General features: G+C 42.7%; 1 protein-coding gene and 1 long non-coding RNA gene across 7 annotated transcripts in view, besides 3 other annotated features; one reads left to right on the forward strand and one right to left on the reverse strand.

Moving 5' to 3' along the window:
- Positions 1–15,646, forward strand: part of TNFSF11 (TNF superfamily member 11) — a 45,278-nt gene extending 29,632 nt beyond the window's left edge. For all 6 annotated transcript variants that reach the window (NM_033012.4, XM_047430707.1, NM_003701.4 and 3 more), the window contains 3 exons: positions 8,385–8,430; positions 8,516–8,614; positions 14,130–15,646. In NM_033012.4, the coding sequence (NP_143026.1) occupies positions 8,385–8,430; positions 8,516–8,614; positions 14,130–14,551 (567 nt within the window). In that variant the 3' untranslated portion in view covers positions 14,552–15,646. The remainder of the gene's footprint in view (positions 1–8,384; positions 8,431–8,515; positions 8,615–14,129) is intronic.
- Positions 868–3,094: an enhancer, noted in NCBI's record as "VISTA enhancer hs1393". NCBI's record gives its function as "enhancer in: forebrain[6/7]" and the evidence as "EXISTENCE:transgenic organism evidence [ECO:0001131][PMID:17130149]".
- Positions 902–1,609: an enhancer, noted in NCBI's record as "OCT4-NANOG hESC enhancer chr13:43167405-43168112 (GRCh37/hg19 assembly coordinates)". NCBI's record gives its function as "activates a minimal SCP1, AML or CMV promoter by ChIP-STARR-seq in primed H9 embryonic stem cells {active_cell/tissue: H9 hESC(primed)}" and the evidence as "EXISTENCE:reporter gene assay evidence [ECO:0000049][PMID:30033119]".
- Positions 8,185–9,384: an enhancer, noted in NCBI's record as "P300/CBP strongly-dependent group 1 enhancer chr13:43174688-43175887 (GRCh37/hg19 assembly coordinates)". NCBI's record gives its function as "activates an origin of replication core promoter dependent on BRD2, BRD4, P300/CBP, MED14 and CDK7 cofactors, with strong dependence on P300/CBP, by STARR-seq in HCT116 cells {active_cell/tissue: HCT116}" and the evidence as "EXISTENCE:reporter gene assay evidence [ECO:0000049][PMID:35650434]".
- LOC124903163 (uncharacterized) lies at positions 8,358–9,229 on the reverse strand. The gene is made up of 2 exons (XR_007063766.1): positions 9,146–9,229; positions 8,358–8,636 (listed from the first exon to the last, which is right to left on the reverse strand). It is a non-coding gene; the product is annotated as an uncharacterized LOC124903163 (long non-coding RNA).

A 24,892-nucleotide genomic window follows, 5' to 3' on the forward strand; every position in this document is an offset into this window, starting at 1 on the left:
CAGGAAAGCACTTGACTTACTATGACCAGCTTATTATAAAGGATACAATCAGGATCCACCCAATGGAAGAGATGCTTAGGGCCAGGTATGGGGATGGAGAGGGTCGTGGAGCCTCCTTGCCTCTCAGGGCATGCCACTCCCTCAGCACCTGGCATGTTCACCTGCTAGGAAGGCAGTGGTTACCCTGGCTCAAGCCCACTGTTGAGAGTTTTTATGGAGGCTTCATTACATAGACATAGTTTATTAAATCATTGGCCATTGGTGGTTGATGTCAACCGGGAGGTCAGGAAGTCAAGGGGTGTGATATGGTTTGGCTCTGTGTCTCCACCCAAATCTTACCTCCAATTGTAATTCCCATAATCCCCAAGTGTCAAGGGTGGGACCAGGTAGAGGTAATTGGATCATGGGGGGTGGTTCCCCCATGCTGTTCTCATGGTAGTGAATCTCATGAGATCTGATGGTTTTATAAGCATCTGGCATTTCCCCTGCTTGCACTCACTCCGTCCTGCCACCCTGTGATGAAGGTGCCTGCTTCTCCTTTGCCTTCCACCAAGACTGTAGGTTTCCTGAGGCTTCCCCAGCCATGCGGAACCGTAAGCCAATTAAACCTCTTTCATTTATAAATTACCCAGTCTTGGCCAGTTCTTTATAGCAGTGTGAAAACAGACTAATACAGGCTGGGACTGAAAGATCCAATCTTCTAATCACATGACCGGTCCCTCTGGAAACCAGATCCCATTCTCCAAGGGTCACATCATTAGCATAAACTCAGGTAAGGTTGGAAGGGGCTGATTTTGAATAACAAAGGATGCTTCTGTGACACCTGTCATGCGGGAAATTCCAAAGGCTTTAGGAGCTCAGTGCTAGGAACCTGGGATGAAGACGAATTGCATATTTCTTATTATATTACAATATTACACAGGCCCAGTTATGCAGGGCCTTCTAAGCCCTGGTAAGGAACGTGGACTTGAACCTGAAGTCTGGAAGCAGCCCCCAGAGGATTTTAAGAAGGGACATGTACTTTAGGATGCACTCTAACCTCAGTGGATCACTTTGAGGAGGGCAGGAGACAGGAAGAGGAGGTAGGAAGCTATTATGCTAGTCCTAATGAGAAATGATGAAAACTTGAAGGAAGGCAGTGGTACCCAGGTTGGAGAGGAGGGAATGGATTTCCCAGCTATTTACAAGGTGGAAATCTGCAGGACTTCTCTGCAGGAATTGGAAACTGGCTATTCATTTTCAGAAATAACCCATGTGTGGCATTCATGTGCTAACTCGGCTGATGAATGCACTATTCTTGTAACTAGGTTGGAGAAGAATTACATGAAGGGTATCATTAAGATGTTAAAATGAATGCATTACATATGTTAACAAGTGTATGAACCCTGTATTATATCTGGCAAACGGGGTGTTAAATCCTTGTTCAACCAGCCAGATGTCTCTGCAGCTGCTGCTGGTATTGCAGAGGGAGGCAGCCACCTGAGACCCCAGCTATAAGCTGGTGCCAGTGATTTCCAAAGCATCTGGCTGTACAAATTCCTTCTTCTGTGCTCTGATTGACAGGTACCACATGGATCACACAATTCACATCACAATGCACAGGTGAGATTTTCAGTCTGATAAGCCCAGACTCCAGCAACTTGACCTTTTCAGAATATCTTTGCAGCTGAGAATGTTCTCAGTTGGAGCTGAAATCTATTTATTATTATTATTATTAATTTATTTTTTTTGAGATGGAGTCTCATTCTGTTGCCCAGGCTGGAGTGCAGTGGTGTGATCTCGGCTCACTGTAACCTCTGCCTCCCGGGCTCAAGCGATCTCGTGCCTTAGCCTCCCGAGTACCTGGGATTACTGGCAACTGCCACCATGCCCAGATAATTTTGAAAATATTTTTAGTAGAGACGAGGTTTTGCTGTATTGGCCAGGCTGGTCTTGAACTCCTGGCCTGAGGTTGATCCACTTGCCTCAGCCTCCGAAAGTGCTGGGATTACAGGTGTGAGCCACTGCACCAGGCCTATTTATATTACTTTGTAAGTTGAAAAAAAAAACACTGTAGTAAAACAATCTTAAAAACAACTTAATAACATTCTCTCCTGAATTGGAATGTTATCAAAGTCTTGTTTGGGGCAGTTATTCAGCTGAATTTACAAAGAGGGGCGTATCCTTTGCTGTAAATGTTTAAATTGCCTGAAGCAAAATTCCCATAACTACTTAAAGGAGTTGAAAATACTCCTAAGTGTTTATACTTATTCTTACACAGTACCATCTCTCCTGAGTGGCCCTAGTTTACTGAGATTGAGCCAGCTCTGAGACATCTCCCTCCTCCTTAAGTTTGGCAAATATCCTAAAACGTTTGAAAAGATGTTTAAAAGATCTGAAGGAAGCTGGTCTCAATGGACCAGAGACAAAGTCTGCACAGCCAGGCTCCTGGGAATTGCACTTCTTGGATGTTGAGTTCAGGAGAGGCAGTACTAGAGACCACAGTTACACAATCACATTGATCTTTTGTGTACTTTGTTTCCTGCAGAAGAAATTGTGTAATCCCAGCATTTTTTTATGAGTTAAATAGAAGTTGAAATTTAAAAAAAAAAATCACATTGGTTGTTTTCCTGTCTGTTTAAATGTACTCTGACAGCAAAGATGAAAAGTTAATGCAGTCTAAATAGAAAAATACCACAATGAGAAGATTTTAAAAAAATATTGTGAAATATCCTCATCTCTATTGTTTTTAGACGTTGGGGTTTCAAATCTGCAAAGGCTGACTGCGGCGTTGTCAGGATTGTCAATGTTGGACAGCGTCCACTAGGTGGCAGTATCTCAGAAGGTTTCTTTTATCCTTGAATGGGCAGAGATTTCTTTGGTTGCTCTCTTTGGTAGTTCGGTTTCCTTTTTTTGTCTTGTTTTGAAGGGTTAAATGAAGCTATCATAATTTACTTATCTAAAATTGCACTTATCTAAAAATGCATAAATTCATTGCAAGGCCTACTTGTTACAGCGTGACCATAAATGAGTTTATTCATTCATGTGAATTTTCTTGGTAACTTATTATTAATGATCCTAGCGTGTAACAGATGATGAATATGCCGTATCCTGAGAAGGTAGATCACAAATCCTCCTGGGAAGCTGGACATGGGTGCTCATTAGCCAAGAGAAGAAAATAGGGGCGTCCTTTGCCCAGCTTCCTCAGCCTGGTAACTGTTTCTGGCTTCTGCTCCAGGCTGTTCGCTGAGAGGTTTGTTGAAGTTACCTGCACTTCTCTACGCAAATCTACAGGCATTCTGATGGCGTAGGTAACATGTGGTTGTGTTGGATGTTTATTCAGAGTGTTAACTAACTGGTTTTTGTTAATTTACAGCTGGCTTAAAATAAGATAAAATGTACATACATTTTTTAAAAGATCTCTTTCATGTGAATAATTTGTTCAGAAGAAAGGAGTCGGGATATTCTTTTGTAGTATTTTCCCAAAATTAGATTATCAGAACTTTCTGAATTCAAAGAAACCGGCAGTGCCGTCTGAATGATAAGATTTTGGAATAAAGAACTATAGAAATTTTAAAACACTCTAATTAATCTGACAGATGTAGAGGACTAATGTGGATGAAAAGAAATGTAAATGCAAAGCTTAGAAAATAAATGGAATTGTCAATTGGGGTGAAGTTTGGGTTCGTCTTCAGAAGGACTCCTATAATCCTGAAAATGAAAAATATTAGGGGGCTATCAAAAGGTCTGTGTTTGGCATGTGCATAGCAAGGTCTCTGATCTTTGAGAAGATGGCAACATGGAATGGCTCCAGCTTTGTGGAGTGGACTCGATAGGGTCATGTTTGGAGATGCAATGTCCCTTATCCATGTCCTGCAGGTCTTAGTCTTGGGGGTTCATCAGCCAAGCCATAAACATGGGTTGGCCAGTTCTCAGCCAGTTGTTTTCTGAAGCCCCTGGGAATTCTGAGATCATATTTTCTGATGTCCCGGCTCCTTTTTGTCAGATCCCAGGATCCCCAGCAGCCAGATGCCAGTCAAGGTGAGCCACCTTTTCAGAGTTACTGCTTCAGGGAGGGAGTCACGCTAGGGATTCCTGGGTGGGCTAGTGGTATTTTGTCCCAGCTTTCAGGAGTGTATTTTATGACGATGGCTTGTAAAAGGATATGGGCATACAGATCCAGAGACCAAAGTTCAAGTCTCAGCTTTATTAGGTGAAGCCTTATTCTCTCTCTGCCTCCATTTCTCAGTCTGAAAAATGAGGTTAGTAGTAGTTATAGTTTTCCAGGCTCTGATTCTAACAAAAGTCAAATATGGTAACAGGGAAAATACTTTGCTGTCTACAAATGTAAGAGGTTATTAAATTTTCAATACGTGGAATATATATGCAAGTCATGAGACTATAGTAAACCCTTAACTAAATTGAGATGTCACCAAACAACTATTCATGGGAACACTTAATTAGTAACAATGCTTCTCAATACCTGCTACATATTCTTATCATCTGGGAGCATCTTTAAAAAACTACCCAGTCACTATCAGACTAATTGGGTTCATTATCCTGGCTGAGGTTGGGGTCAGGGTATGGGTATCTTCTAAACTGCCTAGGTGTCTCTGCTGCGCAGCCAGGTCCCTCACTGGAATGCATCAAGTACTGCCTACAAAACTTCAGTTACAATCTCAAGGCCAGAAGACACCCTAAAAGTCTAGTCTTAGAAGAATGTTATTTTTATGATTGATATCTGTGCACATAAATAACAATGGTTTTAGAGCTCAAAAAGCTGGGGTGCAGATACAGATATTGGGAATACTTTCTTTGTACCTTGAGGTTATAGACAGTCATGCGCTCTCTTTTTGACTCTGAAACTTACCTATAAGGTTTCTGAGGGGAATTGCAATCCTTCAACACCCAAAAGGTATAAAATGAGAGCAGCATTACCTCTTGGGTCTCTAGCTAGAGTTTTAATTCATCCTGGGTCATGAAGCCTTTTGTTCTTTTTTTTTTTTTTTTTTTTTAAAGCAGACATTGAAAGTGCATCTGAGAGGTGCTGCTGGTTACTGAATTTTCCTGAAACAAAATGGGTCCGTAGCAACTCTGACCTAGAAGTTTCTGATTAAATGGGAAAGAAAAGTTCATAGTTCATTCCCGGGTAGAAGAGGACAAACTTTCCCTGTCCGTTGCATCGGTGGCTTGAGTCTGCTGCTTCTTTGGCCTGGATATCAAGCTCCCAGAAAATCTCCAGTCTGTGCCTCTGTGAATCTTTGAGGATGTGAAAGGGATTGTCATTCTCAGATGAGGCCCCAGGCCAGCAACACCAGCTCACTGGTGCTGAATGCAAATTCTCAGGCCCCACCCCAAATCTACTGGATCAGAAACTCTGGGGCTGGTCCCAGCAGCCTGTTTTAACACGCCCTCCAGGAGGTGGTGGTGCAATGCATACATGCTCAAGTTTGAGGACCACTGAGCTAGGACAAAGGCACTTTTCTTGTTTTTCTTTTTCTTTCTTTTCTTTTCTTTTTTTTAGACGGGGTCTTGCTCTGTCACCTAGGCTGGAGTGCAGTGGCACGTCACAGCTCACTTCAGCCTCTACCTCCTGGGCTCAAGCAATCCTCCTGCCTCAGCCTCCTGAAGAGCACAGGTGGATGTCGCCACACCCAGCTAATTTTAAAAAATTAATTTTTATAGAGATGAGGTCTCCTTATGTTGCCCAAGCTGGTCTCAAACTCCTAGGCTCAAGTGATCCTCCCACCTTGACCTCTTAAAGTACTAGGATTACAAGCATGAGCCATCATGCCTGGCCTGGCTTTCTTGATTATAAGTGTGTTTGTATAGAAAATCACAAAACAGGCATTTGTAGGTATATGCTAGACTTAGTTCTGCTTCCTTCTCCCCTTCCCCATCTCTCCTCTGATGGAAAGGCAGATCAGAGCTAGAGGGAAAATGAGGGGTAGCGTTCAATCTCAGAATTACTCTGTCACCAAGGTTCCTCTTCCAATCTTTTAAGAGCCAGTAATCAAGTAAAGATATACTGTGTATATATAACCATATAAAGATATACACAATGTTTAGAGATATGCTGCATATCCAGCTTTGCTGGCACCAAAGTGAAGAAGAGATGAACAGAGGAAGGTCTATTCCCTAAGGCCACCCATCCACCTGCCTGACAAGAACTGGGAAATAAGAAACTGCTATCAAGGCATGTCCCTGTTACATGTCAGACCCCTCCACACACTCCCACACTTCCGCAGCACTTGGCACCTGCTGCAGCAAGAAAAATGCCCAAAAGCCAACTAAACAAGCAGTAGCATTTGAAGGATAAGGGGCCCAATGGCTGGGAAACTGCTGATGTGAGAAAGACCGCACAGTTACACTCACATTTGCAGCAGGTAGTAGAGCGCCATGAGCAGCTTAATAATGAAATTTTCCTATAGCCTTAAGGGAGAAAATAAAAACCTGCAGAAAGAAAGAAAGAAAAAGATGCACTGTGTTATCTATAAGTCTGTTGTGAAGGCAGGGGAGACAAAACTAGGAAATTCCAGAAATTAGGCACCATTGAGAACCCGGAGGTCTTGAGGAAATCTTGGAAGACTGGAGGTTGACATGAGTGGGGAAGAAAACGAGGCCTGGGAAGGGCCACTCAACCCAAAAGGGGCTACCATGTGCCTAAATACCCGCCCTGCACACGGCACTCCCAGAGCTGTGCAGTGTAGTGCCCTGGGTCTAGGCAACAGCAGAAAGTGGCTTTGAGTGAGTCCTAGGGTTTCTTTCTAAGAGTCAGCCGCACTGTGACTAGAACTTCAGAACAGGTCAGTGAAGACAGCTGTGCTATCTCCTCCAACGGTCATTAAAAACAACGTAGATTCTTATCTCTCTCTCAGAAGTTTGGAAGCAGAAAGAAGAATAAATGTTATCTCCAGAATCCTTCCAGCTAATAACAGTTGAAATTATGTTATTGCCTCTATCTATCTATCTATCTATCTATCTATCTATCTATCTATCTATCATCTATCTATCTATCTATCTATCTATCTATCTATCTGTCTATCTCAAAGCCCTCCTCTCTAGACACTTAAAGAACTTAAGCTGCATGGCCTATCTTTCAAACACCGTGGGGAGAATGGTTAGCATGAATAGTTATTCCAGTAACAGGGGAAATTAGGAATCTCTCCAGAGTGGTTTTTTTTCAGTATCCTTATAATAGATATCTCTTTTGTTTTTTGTTTTTGTTTTTGTTTTGAGATGGAGTCTAACTCTGTCACCCAGGCTGGATTACAGTGGTGCGATCTCAGCTCACTACAACCTCCCCCGCAACCTCCCGGTTCAAGCGATTCGCCTGCCTCAGCCTCTTGAGTAGCTGGGATTATAGGTACCCACAACCACACCTGGCTAATTTTTGTATTTTTAGTAGATACGGGGTTCCACTGTGTTGGCCCAGCTGATCTTGAACTCCTGACCTCAAGTGATCCGCCCATGCCAGCCTCCCAAAGTGCTGGGATGATGGGTATATAATAGACATCTAAATTTACCAGGCACTCTGCTAAGTGCCTACACACATTATCTCCTTTAGTCTTCACAAGCACCCTGTGATGGGGTGCTGTTAATATCCTCCGTTTATGCAGGAACTTGAACCAAGGTGAAAGCCTGAGCTTTCATCCCCTCCACCTTACTCTTGCCCTAAGATGTGACATTTTAGTGTCAGCTAATGTCTGGATACAGGTGGGCATGTGGTTACCTATTTCATCCTTTATTCTCAGGGTTCAAATTGAGATATGCAATTACCTATACTCTTTATGTTTTTTCTTTTTTCTGGCTTGTGCTTCTAATCCTCTATTTGTGGCCATATTTTAAGTTAATTGTTGGTACTCTAAAGGCTCTTAGACTTCCATATAGTGCTTTAAGTACACTGTAACTTTAAAGTAAAAAATTAACCACTGGGAGCTAAGCATCGTTCTCTTTCCTGTGGGCTGAGCTTTAGTATTATAACAGAAATTCACTAATGAAATAGACATGAAAAGAGCCTTCCAGAAGATTTAAGAGGGTCATATATTCTGTGTAGTTGTTATTTTCCTAGTTAACTTCATCTCCATTTGTGTACCTGCTACAGATTTTTAATTATGTTCAATTACGCCATGGTTTATAATCTACATCGTCTTTTACTTCCTCTTACCGTCCAAAGTATTTTGTTTGAAGTTGGGTATGATCTCAAACACATCAACACCAATTCTTTTGGGGGAACTTCCATTGATAGCCACCTAATACATATAGGAATTTCACTGCCAATGTTACTATGGCACCTTTGGAAGGAAAAGAGGGTTAATTTGTTGCATATGTAACAGCCCTGAATTCTTATTGCTTTACAGAAAGAATGATTTTATAAATAAAATTATTTTTCCTTTTTATTTCAGGAATTACAACATATCGTTGGATCACAGCACATCAGAGCAGAGAAAGGTAAGCATGGATCCATACATCTGTATGAAATCCCACAGGGTCACTACTATTTTGGCTATAATAATATGGTTTCTCTCATCTCCAGCGATGGTGGATGGCTCATGGTTAGATCTGGCCAAGAGGAGCAAGCTTGAAGCTCAGCCTTTTGCTCATCTCACTATTAATGCCACCGACATCCCATCTGGTAAGCTCTATCTGCATCCAGCCTGAAAAATATTTTAAGAGTCATTTATCAGCCCATTTCAATACTGAAACCTATTTTTAGTCTGTCACTGAATTTTTGAGAGCCCTTACTTCAAAGCCAAAGGAAAGACCATTCATCCTCAGGTGATGATTCACATCCTGGAAACTGTGATTCTCAAAAATGTCAGAATGGACATCATCACCCTATTCATTTTCAGATCATCAGAATGGATGCTTATTTTAAATGACTGCCAGCTGAAAGCCTGTAACCTGGAAGGACAATCCTTTGTTATGCTCATCTGTACTTTCCCAAGCTAAAGTTGACACAGCCCTGCTGCTGACCTCAGAGGTGAATGAATTCATCAGGTAGTCACATACTCAGCTATCTCCTGCAGAGGTCCAGGGAGGACACTTTAGACCCCCGTTAAGATCTTTAAGAGACAGTAACCCTCTAGAAAATGAGATCTCCTCCCCCTTCTCCAAGGGCTTATCATTTTCTCTGAGTAAATGCTTAGCTTGATGGACTAGAGACCTGATTATCTTGAAAATGAAGAAACCCGGAGCTCTCTGCCTACAGCTACTGTAATACACCAGTTATTCCATCATACAACCCCCACTGGTTACTTCACCATGGGCTAGATAGCTATCAAAAAGATAACAGAACTTTATGATACAGTGACAATTGAACATTCTTGTTATCATCATGCCACTAATGGAACACTTGAAGATCTTAAAGGGGGATCTTCAGGTGTCCTCCCTGGCACTCTACTGGAGATGGCTGAGTCTGTGACTACCCGATGAACTCTTCCACCTGTCAATCAGGTGTTTTCCCCTTCCTCAATACCTCTCATCCTTACTGCAATCCTGCAAGGTAGGGATTATCACGCAAATTTTGCAGACAGGGAAACTGAATGATACATAGGTTGTCATTTGTTCCCAGTCATGATGATGATAGGATTAGAAGTAGAATTCCCGTCCCGTTGATTGCTAAGTCCGTGCTTTCCATGCTCTCTATTATCACATAAGCAGGCCACAAGGTACTTGTGGTCAGTTGGCTTGGCCAGAGGGAAAGAATTCAAAGCCCTTATGTTTCTCTTTTCCTGTGAGAAGTAGATTCATGTGACGTCTAATAACAGGGGTGCTAAAATCTGACTGCCTGGGTTTGAGGCTCCATTGTCCTGGCTCTGTGACCTTGTACAATTTATTGCAATCACATATGCTTCAGCTTCATCATGTCTAAAATGGGGATGTTGATAGCATCTGCCTCAAGGGGTAGCTATGAAGATGAAATGAGGTAGACTGCTAACATTCTTGTGTGGAAGAACGGCCATAGTAAGCACTTGGGAGTGTGATTTGTTATTTTTGAGTTCAATTAAATAATTATACATATTCCACCTTTTTCCTACAAATAATTTAAGGCAAGTTTTTCTCGGAGTTAAAGAAAGAAAGTTCAAGTTTTGCTAAGTTATTTGGAAAACTTTGTTACGGCATGGACAAGGGGGAATTTTTCCTGACCGAAGACACAGAAAGGGAGAAACCAATTCTTTGGCTTTTAGAGGATTTTCCAAATGACCTCTCCTGTCCCAGACACTTGCTTCATAAATAATTTGTCTCACTGTGTGTCTATGCATGTCTTGTGGTGGAGCTACACTAATTTTCTCTGAGTGGAAAACTGTTTTGCATGTTAGCAAAGGCAATCAAATAAATATGGATGCATCTGTATTAATTTCTCTGAGTGGAAAACTATTTTGCATGTTAGCAAAGGCAGTCAAATTAATACTAATGCATCAGCTGTGTGTGCTATTAATGTTCCCTACATTTATCTTTTCAGTTCACTTTAAATGGCATATGATAAATATTGCATTAGACCGTTTGCCAAAGTCTGTTTGGCAATAGCAAGCATGTTTTAGTTATAAAACTCTCTCTGCAGGCACCTAGCATCAAATCATTGCCAAAAACACAAGGCAAAACTCCTGGTTATTTTCTGACAGTTATTGAGTTTGTGACTGAGTGAGATGAGTTAGTGTATACTTCTGTTTAAGAAAATAGAATTTGTGGCTCTGGCTGGGCCCACAACTCCTTGAGTCCATTTATTACCCAGTTTTGGCCAGTACTGGAGGTTTCAGAGGAAGTGGCTTTAAATTTGCATGTTCATTTTGGGGCTCTGTTTTATACTTACTTACACAAGTAAAATCAGAATCTGCCTTATATGGACTGATACCACTTGCATTTTCAAAATATCTTAGATGAAATGCGTTGGGAAGTATTTAGTGAGGTCAGAATACATGGCTTTCTTTAGGAGGATACTCAGGCTAAATATTTGCAGAGACCTCTTCTGCGGTACTTAGCAGCAGGGACTGAAGTGTAGGGCAGGGGAGGCTGGGAAAGCTGGCAGGCTGGAGTCAGGGGTTGTCAGTGTGCCTCAGTGATGAAAATCCAGGTTTCCATGTGAGGCCTGCTGTGTGATCACTGCATATTTTTCTCATGTTTTTACCTGGTATTATCTGCTTCTGAGTCCTCTCTTCACACTGACTGGCTCTCCTCCTTTTCCCCCATACGTGCCATGCATATTCCATTCTTTGCTCAGTTTCCTTCACTGACAATACCCTCCCTTTTCTCAGCCCATCCAAGTCTGACCCAAGGCCCCACTGTCCTCTGGCTTCTCTGCCCCTTCCTGAGCTGAGCTCTCCTGCTTGCCATGAATTTCTGTAGCTGTCTCTTGGCAGTTGCTTGTAACTGAATGTCAACCATGTGCTATGCAACATGCAGAAGTGAAAATGCATATTTTATATGCTCATTTTCTATTTTCTCTACTATTAGTGGTGAGTGCCATTAAGGCACAGTTGGTTGATGTAATTCTTAATTACGGGCAGACTGCCTGTTCCTAAAAACACCACGTAGATATTGTGTGACTGATCAAAAGCATGAACCAGTGAATGTATGAGTAAGTCAATGCACAAAAATAGAGAGATGTTTAGTAGGAAATAAGGGCACTTCTTCCACATGACTTACCTAACAATGGGAATGGTAATCGGTCAAGGTTCCTCTCTTCTCCTGCCTCTCTATTTCATATTCTTTCCTTGCCTTCCTAGGCCATATCTTGCTCTAACGCCAGCTGATCCATCCCATTGAGAGGGTAGACTTCTCTTCTGTTAAGAGATAACTATAAGAAAAATCATTGATTGAACAACAAATTGACTGCAAGAGTGGGATAAGAATGAAGGCAGCATGGGATAACTTGAGATGGGAAACATCTTGAATTTCATGGATTTTGTCAATGGATTAGAGGAATTGCTTTTACTAGTGTTCATGAAGGTGTGATGATCATGCTCACTCACTTGGGGCCAGATGATGGTATTTATATCTGGGGTGCTTTAATCTGGGATGACCTGAAATAAGACCTCCGATGAAAAAGAAGGGTGTTTATTGTGGTGAGCCCAGGAGGCAAGAGGGCCTGTGATGACCCCGCTGCAGATAGGTTGTGGAGTTCAGGAAATATCCTGTTTCTGGACAGAGGGATTGGAACCATTGAATTCTTGGTCTTCTCATGATGGGTTGCCCCACCGTTGGATGGCCCTTGCTGCAGTTTTTCTCCCAAGTGGTTGAAAGAACTGCCTGTTTGGTTCCTACAGCCTAGTTTTGAGGCTCCCAGATCATATCCCAGGCTCCCAGTTCTTTAGAGATAAAATTGTAGAACATTCTCTATCTTGTGGGCCTCTAGAGAAGGATGTAGATGTTCAAGGCCCACCAAACCAGACTAGGCTGGGAAGGTAACTAGTGTGTGTTTCCTTTTTTTTGTTTGTTTTGTTTGTTTGTTTTTTGAGACAGAGTCTTGCTCTGTCTCCCAGGCTGGAGTGCCGTAGCGCGATCTTGGCTCACTGCAACCTCCACCTCCTGGATTCAAGTAATTCTCCTGCCTCAGTCTCCTGAGTAGCTGGGATTACGGGCGCCTGCCACCGCGCCCAGCTAATTTTTTGTATTTTTAGTAGAGATGGGGTTTCACCATGTTGACCAGGCTGGTCTCGAACTCCCGACCTCATGATCCACCCACCTCAGCCTCCCAAAGTGCTGGGATTACAGGCGTGAGCCACCGTGCCCAGCCATGTGTTTCTTTCTCGATGAGGCTCTCATAAGGATTCACTCTAATCAGAGAGCTGTCAGTTTTGATGGATCTCTGGAATCCACTATAAGTCTTCATCTCTGGGCTAATTTATCTCCCTCAGCATCTCAGGGCCTGACCTAAGTTGTGGTTGGGTGTGACAGGCAGCAATGAACTTCTTGTGGCTGCAGGAACTCTCTCAACTCCAGTCTGAGACTCAACTCTGCTTTGTTTTGCTGATTTCAAACTGCTGACCACCTTAGTTTAGTATAAGTATTTACAAAATCCTCTGGAAGAAAAATGTATTTTTGTACTTTCCACAGTATTACAACTTTCCCACCATTAGTTACCAGCTTTTCCAGTTGAACAATAGTGTCCACATCAATACAAATCTTTGATTAATTGGGTTTATCACAGAGGTATTGCCAATTTTTAATGACCCAGGAAAATACACCAAAGGACCTGAAATATGAAAAGGATTGGACACACTGCTGGTTTAGAAGGTTCTTTAGAAATTTTTACTGCTCTGAAGCTGTAGCAAGAGGACCAGGTGTCACCTCATTTCAGGGGTGAGTAGGGCTAAATGAGAATTCTGGTCAGTCAGGAGAAGCTTTACAGACCTTTGGTCAGAAGGATTGTGTGAAGTTGTTAAGCTAGGGAGTGCAATGCTAAGAATATGTTCTTTTTGAGCTTCTCTGGAGTTAGCTTTTCAGTTGTGCAAGCTAAGGTGGGAGACACTTGGGCTACTGGAGGTGAAGAAAATAGATTATGAGAATTGAGTTTAGACGTCTGACCTTTCAGCCAAAGTTACTGTGACCCAGTTTTTCATCTCCTACTTTCCCTCTTCATGAGTTAAAAGAGAAGGTTGAGACTTGTGACATGTGGAAATTGTCTTCCTATCCTAGTTTCTTGCTTTCCTGTCTCAGTTGCCTTTGGCTTATCTCTTCCTTCAACCTGGAATGACCTTTCTGCTCCTGTCTGTGTGGCTGAATCCCATTTCTCTTAAGTTCTCAGGCTTAGCAGCAACTCCACAAAGGCATTCTTTACCCTTCTGGGTGGAAAGTTGTTCTTGTCTCTCCGTCCTTTGAGCTCCCATGGGAGTTACTGAACCTTGCCTATTGTTACTCATGCCTTACTTCTGCTCTGAACACATATCGTACTTACCCCTGGTGCACTATAGACGCCTTGAGGGCAGGAAAAATGAGTTTTTGTCTTCGTAGCCTCTACTGTGCCTAACAGAATGCACCAAGTACATCTGAATGTATTCTCCCCTTCTAGAAAAGAAATGCCAATAAGTTATTCTCCCTTTGAAATAATGACTGCTATACTATTTTTTCTCCCTAACCTCATAGAATTGTGAAGACGTCCTTCTCATTTAAGGACTGACTTTCAAATCTTATGCCTCTCTTCTCCACAGGTTCCCATAAAGTGAGTCTGTCCTCTTGGTACCATGATCGGGGTTGGGCCAAGATCTCCAACATGACTTTTAGCAATGGAAAACTAATAGTTAATCAGGATGGCTTTTATTACCTGTATGCCAACATTTGCTTTCGACATCATGAAACTTCAGGAGACCTAGCTACAGAGTATCTTCAACTAATGGTGTACGTCACTAAAACCAGCATCAAAATCCCAAGTTCTCATACCCTGATGAAAGGAGGAAGCACCAAGTATTGGTCAGGGAATTCTGAATTCCATTTTTATTCCATAAACGTTGGTGGATTTTTTAAGTTACGGTCTGGAGAGGAAATCAGCATCGAGGTCTCCAACCCCTCCTTACTGGATCCGGATCAGGATGCAACATACTTTGGGGCTTTTAAAGTTCGAGATATAGATTGAGCCCCAGTTTTTGGAGTGTTATGTATTTCCTGGATGTTTGGAAACATTTTTTAAAACAAGCCAAGAAAGATGTATATAGGTGTGTGAGACTACTAAGAGGCATGGCCCCAACGGTACACGACTCAGTATCCATGCTCTTGACCTTGTAGAGAACACGCGTATTTACAGCCAGTGGGAGATGTTAGACTCATGGTGTGTTACACAATGGTTTTTAAATTTTGTAATGAATTCCTAGAATTAAACCAGATTGGAGCAATTACGGGGTGACCTTATGAGAAACTGCATGTGGGCTATGGGAGGGGTTGGTCCCTGGTCATGTGCCCCTTCGCAGCTGAAGTGGAGAGGGTGTCATCTAGCGCAATTGAAGGATCATCTGAAGGGGCAAATTCTTTTGAATTGTTACATCATGCTGGAACCTGCAAAAAATACTTTTTCTAATGAGGAGAGAAAATATATGTATTTTTATATAATATCTAAAGTTATATTTCAGATGTAATGTTTTCTTTGCAAAGTATTGTAAATTATATTTGTGCTATAGTATTTGATTCAAAATATTTAAAAATGTCTTGCTGTTGACATATTTAATGTTTTAAATGTACAGACATATTTAACTGGTGCACTTTGTAAATTCCCTGGGGAAAACTTGCAGCTAAGGAGGGGAAAAAAATGTTGTTTCCTAATATCAAATGCAGTATATTTCTTCGTTCTTTTTAAGTTAATAGATTTTTTCAGACTTGTCAAGCCTGTGCAAAAAAATTAAAATGGATGCCTTGAATAATAAGCAGGATGTTGGCCACCAGGTGCCTTTCAAATTTAGAAACTAATTGACTTTAGAAAGCTGACATTGCCAAAAAGGATACATAATGGGCCACTGAAATCTGTCAAGAGTAGTTATATAATTGTTGAACAGGTGTTTTTCCACAAGTGCCGCAAATTGTACCTTTTTTGTTTTTTCAAAATAGAAAAGTTATTAGTGGTTTATCAGCAAAAAAGTCCAATTTTAATTTAGTAAATGTTATCTTATACTGTACAATAAAAACATTGCCTTTGAATGTTAATTTTTTGGTACAAAAATAAATTTATATGAAAACCTGCCTTGTGATTTTGTACTTCACCTTCATGTCTCTTTTGCTCTGTGATCCTATTATTTTCAATATGGTAATGTGGCTTCTATCTCTTTCCAAAGGTTACTGGGAGAAATGCAGATTTAATTAAAAATTAGAAGCAGATTCAATTAAATTAATGATCCTTGGAATCTGAAAAATAATTTGCAAGGAATTTGTATGCAAGGATATATCCAGATAGAAAATGGAGTCTTCTTCACTTAAAAAAGCCAAAATTTATATTATGTTGATATTGTGAGAAAAATATGGTGCTTTGTATAAGTTCATAATGTCTTAAAGAATAACTGTGCATGTTGTGCACACGTACCCTAGAACTTAAAGTATAATAAAAAAAATAGTAAGAAAATGCACGCACACAAAAAAGAATAACTGACCTGGAGGAACACCTGACATTTTATACCTTACTGTGGTAAGGAAGAATTAACAGTGTCCTGGACTCTTGTTCTCATGGAAATTTATACAGGAAAGCTGTCTGACCCAGGTTGGTTACTTATGTGGGAGAGATATAAGAAAATAAGCAGCTTGGGAAGGCACTGTACACCATAATCTAAGGCACTTTTCATTTATGGATAAATGTTTTTAGATGGCTGTGACAGGATAGAAGGAGAGAAGAAACAGCAGATGTTACAAAGAAGAAATTGTAAAATTCAAACAGCAGAGCTACAATGGTGGAACTCAATCATTGGCCAAAATAGACCTACTATTTAAAAACTGTCAGTACGTCTAAGGTCAATTGGTATAAAATATGACTTCTGTGTTTCATGTCCCAATTGCTGAGCCTTAGTTTAAGGAAAAAATAATTTTGATAGGCAATCAGAGAGTTTCTCCACTCTCCATTGGCACTGTCTTATTATGTAGAGTGCCTCATTAGCTACTGTTGCTCTCATAATACTATTCTGTTATAGGACTAACAGGTTCATATGCCCACTGCACAGTAACAGTCCAAGTACACTGAGACAGCAAGATTTGTGGCAGAGGAAGAGTTTAATGATCTCAGGGCACCAAGTGAGAGGATGGAAGGAGACTCAGATTCATCTCCCCCGAGGAGTTCTGGGCTGAGGTTTTTAAGGGGATTAGGGAGAGCGAGGGGTTAGAAAATTGGGGTCATTGAGTGGCTGGGGTAAGAGGGATGAAATCCTCAGGATGTGGAAGCTGCATTCCTTGGTGAGGGAGCTTCTCATGGGGTCCTCTTCAGATCAGCTGGTGTCAGTAGTTTTGCTGATATGCAGGACCTGAAAGAATGTCTCAAAGGGAAAACTTAACATTTTGTGATGTTCAAGCTGTTATCTATGGAGCATTTAAAGCGAACTATAATCTTAGAGTCTACATGATTCTAAGACAATAGGCAAATAGCTATGAGGAAGGGGTCGGAGAGCAAGCTGACCTAGTGATGGATGCTGAGTGTGTTGCAAGCTTGCTTTATTTTTGTTTTCCCCCCTCTTTGCTTCCCTGATAAATGTTATAAAGTTTATAGGGACAGTTTCAAATCTGTCATTTCCAAAGGTGAATGACATTCATCCATTTGTTTGTTCCATATTATTTCTTGAGTACCATCTATGTGCTAGGCACTGTGCCAGGCATGTGGATGCTATGGCACTCTCCCTGCCCTTGAGGAGTTTCCATTCTAGTTGGGAGCCAGCCTAGCAAGGGTGTGTGTGGTCAGCCCTAGGGTGTGGACATACCGCAGGCTGTGGGAGCAGAGAGGAGGCTATGGAACCCATCTTGGGAGCCACAGAAAGTCTGAAAATGATATCAGACTGGATAGGAAGTGGGGTTGAAAAAAGCTTTGAAAGTGGATATAGAATATCCGTTACCATTTTTAACTTAGAGGTAACTGAATGTGCAGTCTCTCAAAGATGAACTAAAAATCCAAGGTCCAGGAATGAAAAAAAAAAACACCCCAGGATCTAGTGAGGTAAGACATGGTGGCACCAGCCAAACTGGAGAACTAACATGGTAGAGGGCCTGCAAAGCCAAGGGACAGCCTGTATTGAAGACCCCAGGCCGGGCGCGGTGGCTAACGCCTGTAGTCCCAGCACTTTGGGATGCTGAGGTGGCTGAATCAGGAGGTCAGGAGTTTCAGACCAGCCTGGCCAACATGGTGAAACCCCATCTCTACTAAAAATACAAAACGTTAGCTGGGTGTAGTGGCAGGCGCCTATAATCCCAGCTACTTGGGAGGCTGAGGCAGGAGAATTGCTTGAACCCAGGGGGCAGAAATTGCAGAGAGCCGAGATTGCACCACTGCACTCCAGCCCGGGCGACAGAATGAGACTCTGTCTCAAAAAAAAAAAAAAAAAAAAAGAAGACCTCAATAATGGAGCCTACCTGTAATGTGAATTTTATGTACATTAGCATCATAGCAGGTCAGAGATGTTTTAGAGCTTTGCTGGAATGAATCTATGACTTAATGAAAAGTGAGTATAAATTGGACTATGCCTTGAAGGAGGCAATGGTAGCAAGTGGATATGCCAGGAGGTATGGAAAAGACTTTTCTAGTCATGCTCAAGGCTTGCCAGGCTGAGTTGTAGGGTCTAAAATGCAGGATGCAAAATACCCTACTTTCCTCTTCACATGCTACTTTTTTACTTCTGTTTTTCTTCTCACTCATCCCTTTTACCCTTTTGTGTGTGTTTGAACTCTTCCCTTTTTTCTTTTCCTGTTCCCCCCAATGCCTGGCTCTTGCCTCAGATGACAATTTCATTTCTGTGGTGGGCCTCGGGGAATAAGGAGGCTGCTGCATCTAATGGAGATGGAACCAGGTCATGTCAACACTCAGTGACAGCTAAGTGTGTTGAGGTGTGACAAAATCATGTCAGGAAACCAACACATATGATGGCAAACTCAATTGTTTGCTCATTTTAATGACTTCATTTCAATCTTATTCCTAACACATGCCAAATCTGAAGGAAGGAAAGAGTGTCAAAGTTGAAGCCATCTGTCTTCTTGAATTGACTTGCAACTCCACCAGACCATGCACCCTTGCACCTTTCAAAGCGCCATGTGTGCACCAATTTTTGTTTAGTGTACCTGTTTTCCCCTCTTTGCCTATTTCCTTTTCTCTATTCATCTTCATTAGGCCATCCTAGAAAAAAATATCTGGAGCAGATGATCTATTTCCCCAGTGACTCTGGGGGGAAGCTGAGCACCTCATGTATATCCTTTCCCTCTGGGTCTGATTATTGGTTTGGCTTGAGCTAGTGCCATCAGGTTATACTTGTACATTTTGGGAGCATAACCTTGACTCAAATTGCACTTCTACGTTTAGCCTGGCCAAACATGGGCTTGCTTCACTTTTGGCTTTGTTAATCGATTCTTCAGCTTCCTTGCTATGAAATTGAAATATGTTTCCCAGTAGCTGCATTTATAAATGCTAATTAGTTATTGATTCACATTATTATGATTTAGCCTTGTGTCACTTTCTACAATAAAAAGTGTATACACAGTGAGTGTTAGATTTCAGCTATAAAGCAGAAATCTATCCTTTTGATTAATAACACTTCTATGATACTTCTACTCTTCTATTCCTGTAATTTAAAATGTTTATTTCCTAATCATCTACCATCACCTCCCCTCTCCTCTGGTGACTGATTTCCTTTGCAGGGGCTTGTCATTATTGCACCTTGACCAGTGCTCTGGCTGTTTCTAGTGGCAGTCTCTTGATATTATCAGATGTGGACAAGTTATAACAACATTATTCATATTGCTACTGGCTTTCAATGTCTGTAAAGAAACCATGTAGAGTCTTCTGTTTTGAAAATTCTTAGACGTGTGTCTTCCAGTTGGCAAAGGAGTGAGCTAGAAGTTACTCCATTAGCAGCACCCAGGGGATCAGAGGTGGTTTCAGAGGCAAGAAGTTTTTCTAAAAAGGTTGATAGTTACTTCAGTCTGCCTAAAGAGGGTCCTAGAATCATGGGATGTCACTCTGTTGGGCAAATGCCAATTTCTTCCCTTTCCTATGGATTCTGCAGACACTTCGTTTTCTCAGAAGTGTGATCTCAGCAACCTCAGGTTGGTGGAACAAAACGCCTCATGAGATGTGAACATCTTTTGAAAGAAAGATTGCAGATTTAGGTGTCAGCCAGACCCAGGCCTGGAGTCTGATCTCCACTGCCTGGTACCCTGGGCAGGTGGCCATCATTTAGATTCAGTTTCCTGCCTTGTGAAGCAGGAGTCACCCTGCCTGAGCTGAGTCATAAGGATTGGCGCAAAACGGGCTCAACAAATAGGAGCCACCGTCACTATCCTCCTAGCCCATTTGCTATATCCTTGCACAAAGTTTACGCTTTTTTTCTCTAGATGCTGGACAGGGCCCACATTAAGCAAATTACTGTGCTCTGCATTGTGGTACCAGAATAGATACTGTATTAATTCCCTACAGCTGCCTAGATAACAAATGACCACAAACTGGCTGGCCTAAAACAACAGAAATATATTTTCTCACAGTTCTGGAGGCTAGAAGTCCAAAATCAAGCTGTGAGTGGGACCATACCCCCCTGAAGACTCTTGGGAGGAATGCTTCCTTGCTTCTTCCAGCTCATGGTGGTTGCTGGCACCCCCGTGTGTTCTTTTCCTTGCAGCTGCATCACTCCAGCCTCTGCCTCTGTCTTCACATGGCTTCTCTCCTGTGTCTCTTCACATGATTCTTCCTCCCTGTGTGTTTTTTTGTGTTTGTGTGTTCTCTGTGTCTCCAAATCTCTCTCTTCTTATGAGGACACCAGCGACTGGATTTAGGGCCCATTCATCTTACCTTGATTAAGTCTGCACCTGTTCAGATGGACATAAATTTTGGGGGAACGCTATTCAACCCAGTATAGATACAAGGAACTTAGAGTTCAGGGGTGAAATAAATATTTAAAAGCCAAGTCATAAACAAACTGGAATGAAATAAATGCCACAATAGAAGCACAAGCAATGAACTATTGAACTCACCTAACTCAGTGAGGGTTTGCTTTCATTGAAATATGAGTGAAACCATATTTTGATGACATTTGAATAGCTACAATGTGCTGTTGTGGGCTGCCTGTTTTCAAGAGATTATTTCGGGGTTGGGACAAGGCTCATATGCACTCCTATTTACCTCCACTCCTTAGAAGATCCTCCCTACACACACACACACACACACACACACACACACACACACACATGCACACACAATTCACCCACGCTACACTAGGACATCCGGGCTCTGCAGATGACTGCTACCTGGATTTATACTTGTTTCTTCCTTCTAATGGCGAATGTGATTTTGCTCAAGGATTAGAGTTTAACCAGTTTGAAATAGTTCATCTCTTTAATAAATACGGAATAAGATGGAGAAAACGTTACTCCCCGGAGCTCCAGAGTGCAGAGGAAGGTGGACCAGCTAGATGGAGCTTTCCCCAGGGGGATCTGCAGGGCTGGAGATTTAGCATGGTGTTCTGCCTGCATGCCAGGGGGCCACACGACGATCATGTGGGTGATGGCAGGAGGCACAGTTGGGCTGAGAGGACAGAACCATATTGGTGACTCTGAAGTCTTTGGTAAAGTGACCAGCTTTATGAGTTTGTTGTGGTTGCATTCCTGGTGGGAACCCAGTGGAAAGGCAGAGTTTGACTGGCGCTACAAGATACAGAATGGAGCAGGCTACAGAAGCAGGAGCAGAGAGAAGCACAAGGCCATGGCCCGACCTCAGGTGTGGAGATGCTGGTGCCTTGAGGCGGGGTCCTTGAACCTTCTCTGGGCAGGGAGGCCTTCTTTTGTTAGTTAGTGTGCTCCGGAGATACTGAATCATAGTGTATTGGTATAGGCTGGGAAGTCCCCTTCCTGCAAGCTGGAGGCCCAGGAAAGCCAGTGGTGTAGTTCTAGTTCAAACCCAAATGCCTGGGAACTAGGAGAGCTGATGGTGTAAGTCCAGGTCTGAATCTGAAGGCCTGAGAACCAGGAGTGCTGATGTCTAAGGGCAGGAGAAAATGAATATCCCAGTTCAAGTTGAGAGAGCAAGTTAGCTCTTCCTCTATTTTGTTCTATTCAGACTTTCAATGGATTGGGTGATGCCCACCCACTCTGTGGAGGATGGGTCTTCTGCACTCAGGCCACTGATTCCAATTCTAATCTCTTCCAGAAAGCCCTTCACAGACACACCCAGAAATCACGTTTTGCCAGCTATCTGGGCATCCCTCAGCCCAGTTAAGTTGACACCTAAAGTTAACTGTCATGCTGCACTGAGGACACTTGGGTTAGGTATAAAGTGGCTTGTTCAAATTTAGAAGGAAAGCATCTTAAACCCTAATAGATGAAAGAGGAAAAGTCCGCACACAACTCTAGGGGAAACCCAATAATACACCAAACTTTAAAAAAATTTCTAAATGAAGAATTAAGTCATGAAATAGGGGATAAGAATTTGTGTAAGTTTGCCTAAATAGACAAGGTTCAGAGAGACATTATCTATAGCAGCAGGGGAAAAAAGGACCCCCAGAGAGCATCAGATACATACAGCAGGTGCAGGACAGGTGCAGCACCTTCCACTTCCCTTTGTTCTGCAGAATCACCAACACAGGTGGCACTTACTCCAAAAGGCAGATCTTATCTTGAGTTCAGGCACAAGTCAATAGCACAGAAGCAGTGATGAGTGTCTGGTCCATAAGAAAGAGATAAGTGTGCAACTTGGGGGAGAGAGTCTGTCAGTTCAGGTCTAAGGGCAATTAACATGGAAACGATTTTAGTGTGTGGTCAAGATCTCAAAAACAGGAATTCAGCTCTGGAAGAAGACTAACAGAATCCCTAGAAGTGGGTCAGATCGCAGGTGGCTGGGGGTACAGGCAGTGCCCCCTTTCAAGACACCAGGGAGCTGTAGGTGTGGGAGGAAACTCCAGGTGCCCATGATCCCCGGGTAGAATGGGCCAGAGAGGAAGATAGGCTCCCCTGTAGGGTAGATTCAGAAAGCAGCTATGAAATCTCATCCCTGAAACTGTGAAAGACTGTTACCTTCTGTATTAGTTTGCTAGGGCTGCTGTAACTAATAATGACAAACTTGGTGACCTAAAACAACAGAAATGTATTCTTGTGCAGTTCTGGAGCCAGAACTTCTGAAATCAAGGTATCGGCAGGGTCAGGCTCCCTCTTGGAGGATCTGGGAAGAATCCCTCTTTGCCTCTTGCAGCATCTGGTGGCTCTAGGAGTTTCTGTGGCTACTTCACTCTAATCTCTGCCTCTATCTTCATGTGGCCTTCTTCCCTTCTTTCTGTGTCTTTTCTGTTTTTGCTTTTTTTTTTTTTTGAGATAGGGTCTCACTATGTCACCCAGGCTGGAGTGCAGTGGCACAGTCTCGGCTCACTGCAGCCTCCTCCTCCCAGGTTCAAGCGATTCTCATTCAAGCCTCAGCCACCCGAGTAGCTGGGATTACAGGCATGCACCACTACGCCTGGCTAATTTTTGTATTTTTAGTAGAGGCGAGGTTTTGCCTGTTGTCCAGCCTGGTCTTGAACTCCTGGCCTCATGTTATCTGCCCACCTAGACCTCCTAAAGTCCTGGGATTATAGGCATGAGCCACTGCGCCCAGCCTGTTTTTGCTTCTTATAAGGGTGTTACAATAGGTAGCTAGTCAGACATGAGTAGTGCAGGAGAACAACCCCCAACCAGGAATGTCAGGCCACCATTAGATGATGGTCAGGTGGTTGTCAAACTCTCTAAAATAATTGGTTGCGGCCGGCACCAGGGAACAGCAGTCTCCCAATAGATAGAAACAGCTGAAACTGGTGATCAGCAGCTTCCCAGTAAGCTCTCTAAGAGTTGACCTAGTGGGCTCACACGTGAGCACTAAGAGGCAAAATGGTGGCGTTTAATAGGCATGTGACTTTCCTCTAGGAACTCTCAACTGGTAAGGGAATGACTCATCAAGTGAGCATGCGTACAGCTTTAGTAAACACACTGCACATGCAGCCCCTCCCAAGTGCTACTTCCCTCTGTTCTACAAAATCACCAACACAGGTGGCACATACTCCAAAAGGCGTATCTTATCCTGAGTTCAGGCACAAGTCAATAGCATAGAAGCAGTGAGGAGTGTCTGGTCCATGGGAAAGAGATAAGTGTGTAACTTGAGGGTGAGATTCTGTTGGTTCAGGAGTAATGGCAATTAACATGGAAACGATTTTCGTGTATGGTCAAGGTCTCAGAAACAGGGATTCAGCCCTGGAAGAAGACTAGCAGAATCCCTCGAAGTGGGTCAGATCTCAGGTGGCTGGGGGTACAGGTAGTGCCACTGCACATGTGGACAGCGCACCCCAAGAATCAAGGGAGAAAGAATGCAAGATCCCAGAAGTATGCCAAGGTATAAAACCCCAAGTCAAATGTCAAACTGCGCATTTGATCTCTCAAGTTGCCCACTTGGCCCTCCTCCAAGTATACTTTCCTTCCTTTCTCTCCTGCTCTAAAGCTTTTTTTTTTTTTTGAGATGGAGTCTCGCTCCGTCACCCAGGCTGGAGTGCAGTGGCGCATCTCGGCAAGCTCCGCCTCCCGGGTTCACGCCATTCTCCTGCCTCAGCCTCCCAGGTAGCTGGGACTACAGGCGCCCAACACTACCCAGCTAATTTTTTGTATTTTTTTAGTAGGGACGGGGTAAAGCTTTTTAATAAACTTTCATTCCTGCTCTAAAACTTGCCTTGGTCTCTCCTTATGCTTTATGCCCCTCAGTCAAATTCTTCCTGAGGAGGCAAGAATTGAGATTGCTGCAGACCTGTACAGATTCACCACTGGTAACAAGGGCACTAGTCATTGGATTGAGGTTCTGCCCTGTTAATCCAGGAGGTTCTCATTTAAAGATCCTTAACTTAATTACATCTGCAATGACCCTTTTCTTAAATAAGGCCATCTTCACAGGTTCTAGGCTTTAAGACATGAATATATCTTTTTTGGGGTCACCCCAAATGCAGGCTGGGGTCATTCAGCCTTCAACACCCTCCCCTGGACTGTGTGCCAATCCTGTTAATGGGGCCAGGCACACTGATGTCTTTCCCTGGCTCCCAGAGAGAGGCAGGGAAACCTACTAGGAAGAGTCTGAGACTGGAAAACAATAAGTGAAATAAAGAATGATGCAAATGCCTAGATCTGCACATTTCTAAACGGGTGACTGCAGGGAGACAAATCCCAGAGGGGAGAGACAAACATGAGAATGTTGCTGTGTTGGAGAGGTGGGATTACGGATGTTTTCTTCTTTTCAAAATTTCCGTGACTGTTGTTA

The sequence above is a fragment of the Homo sapiens genome, chromosome 13 (assembly GCF_000001405.40).
Source record: "Homo sapiens chromosome 13, GRCh38.p14 Primary Assembly".
Classification (NCBI taxonomy): Eukaryota; Metazoa; Chordata; class Mammalia; order Primates; family Hominidae; genus Homo; species Homo sapiens.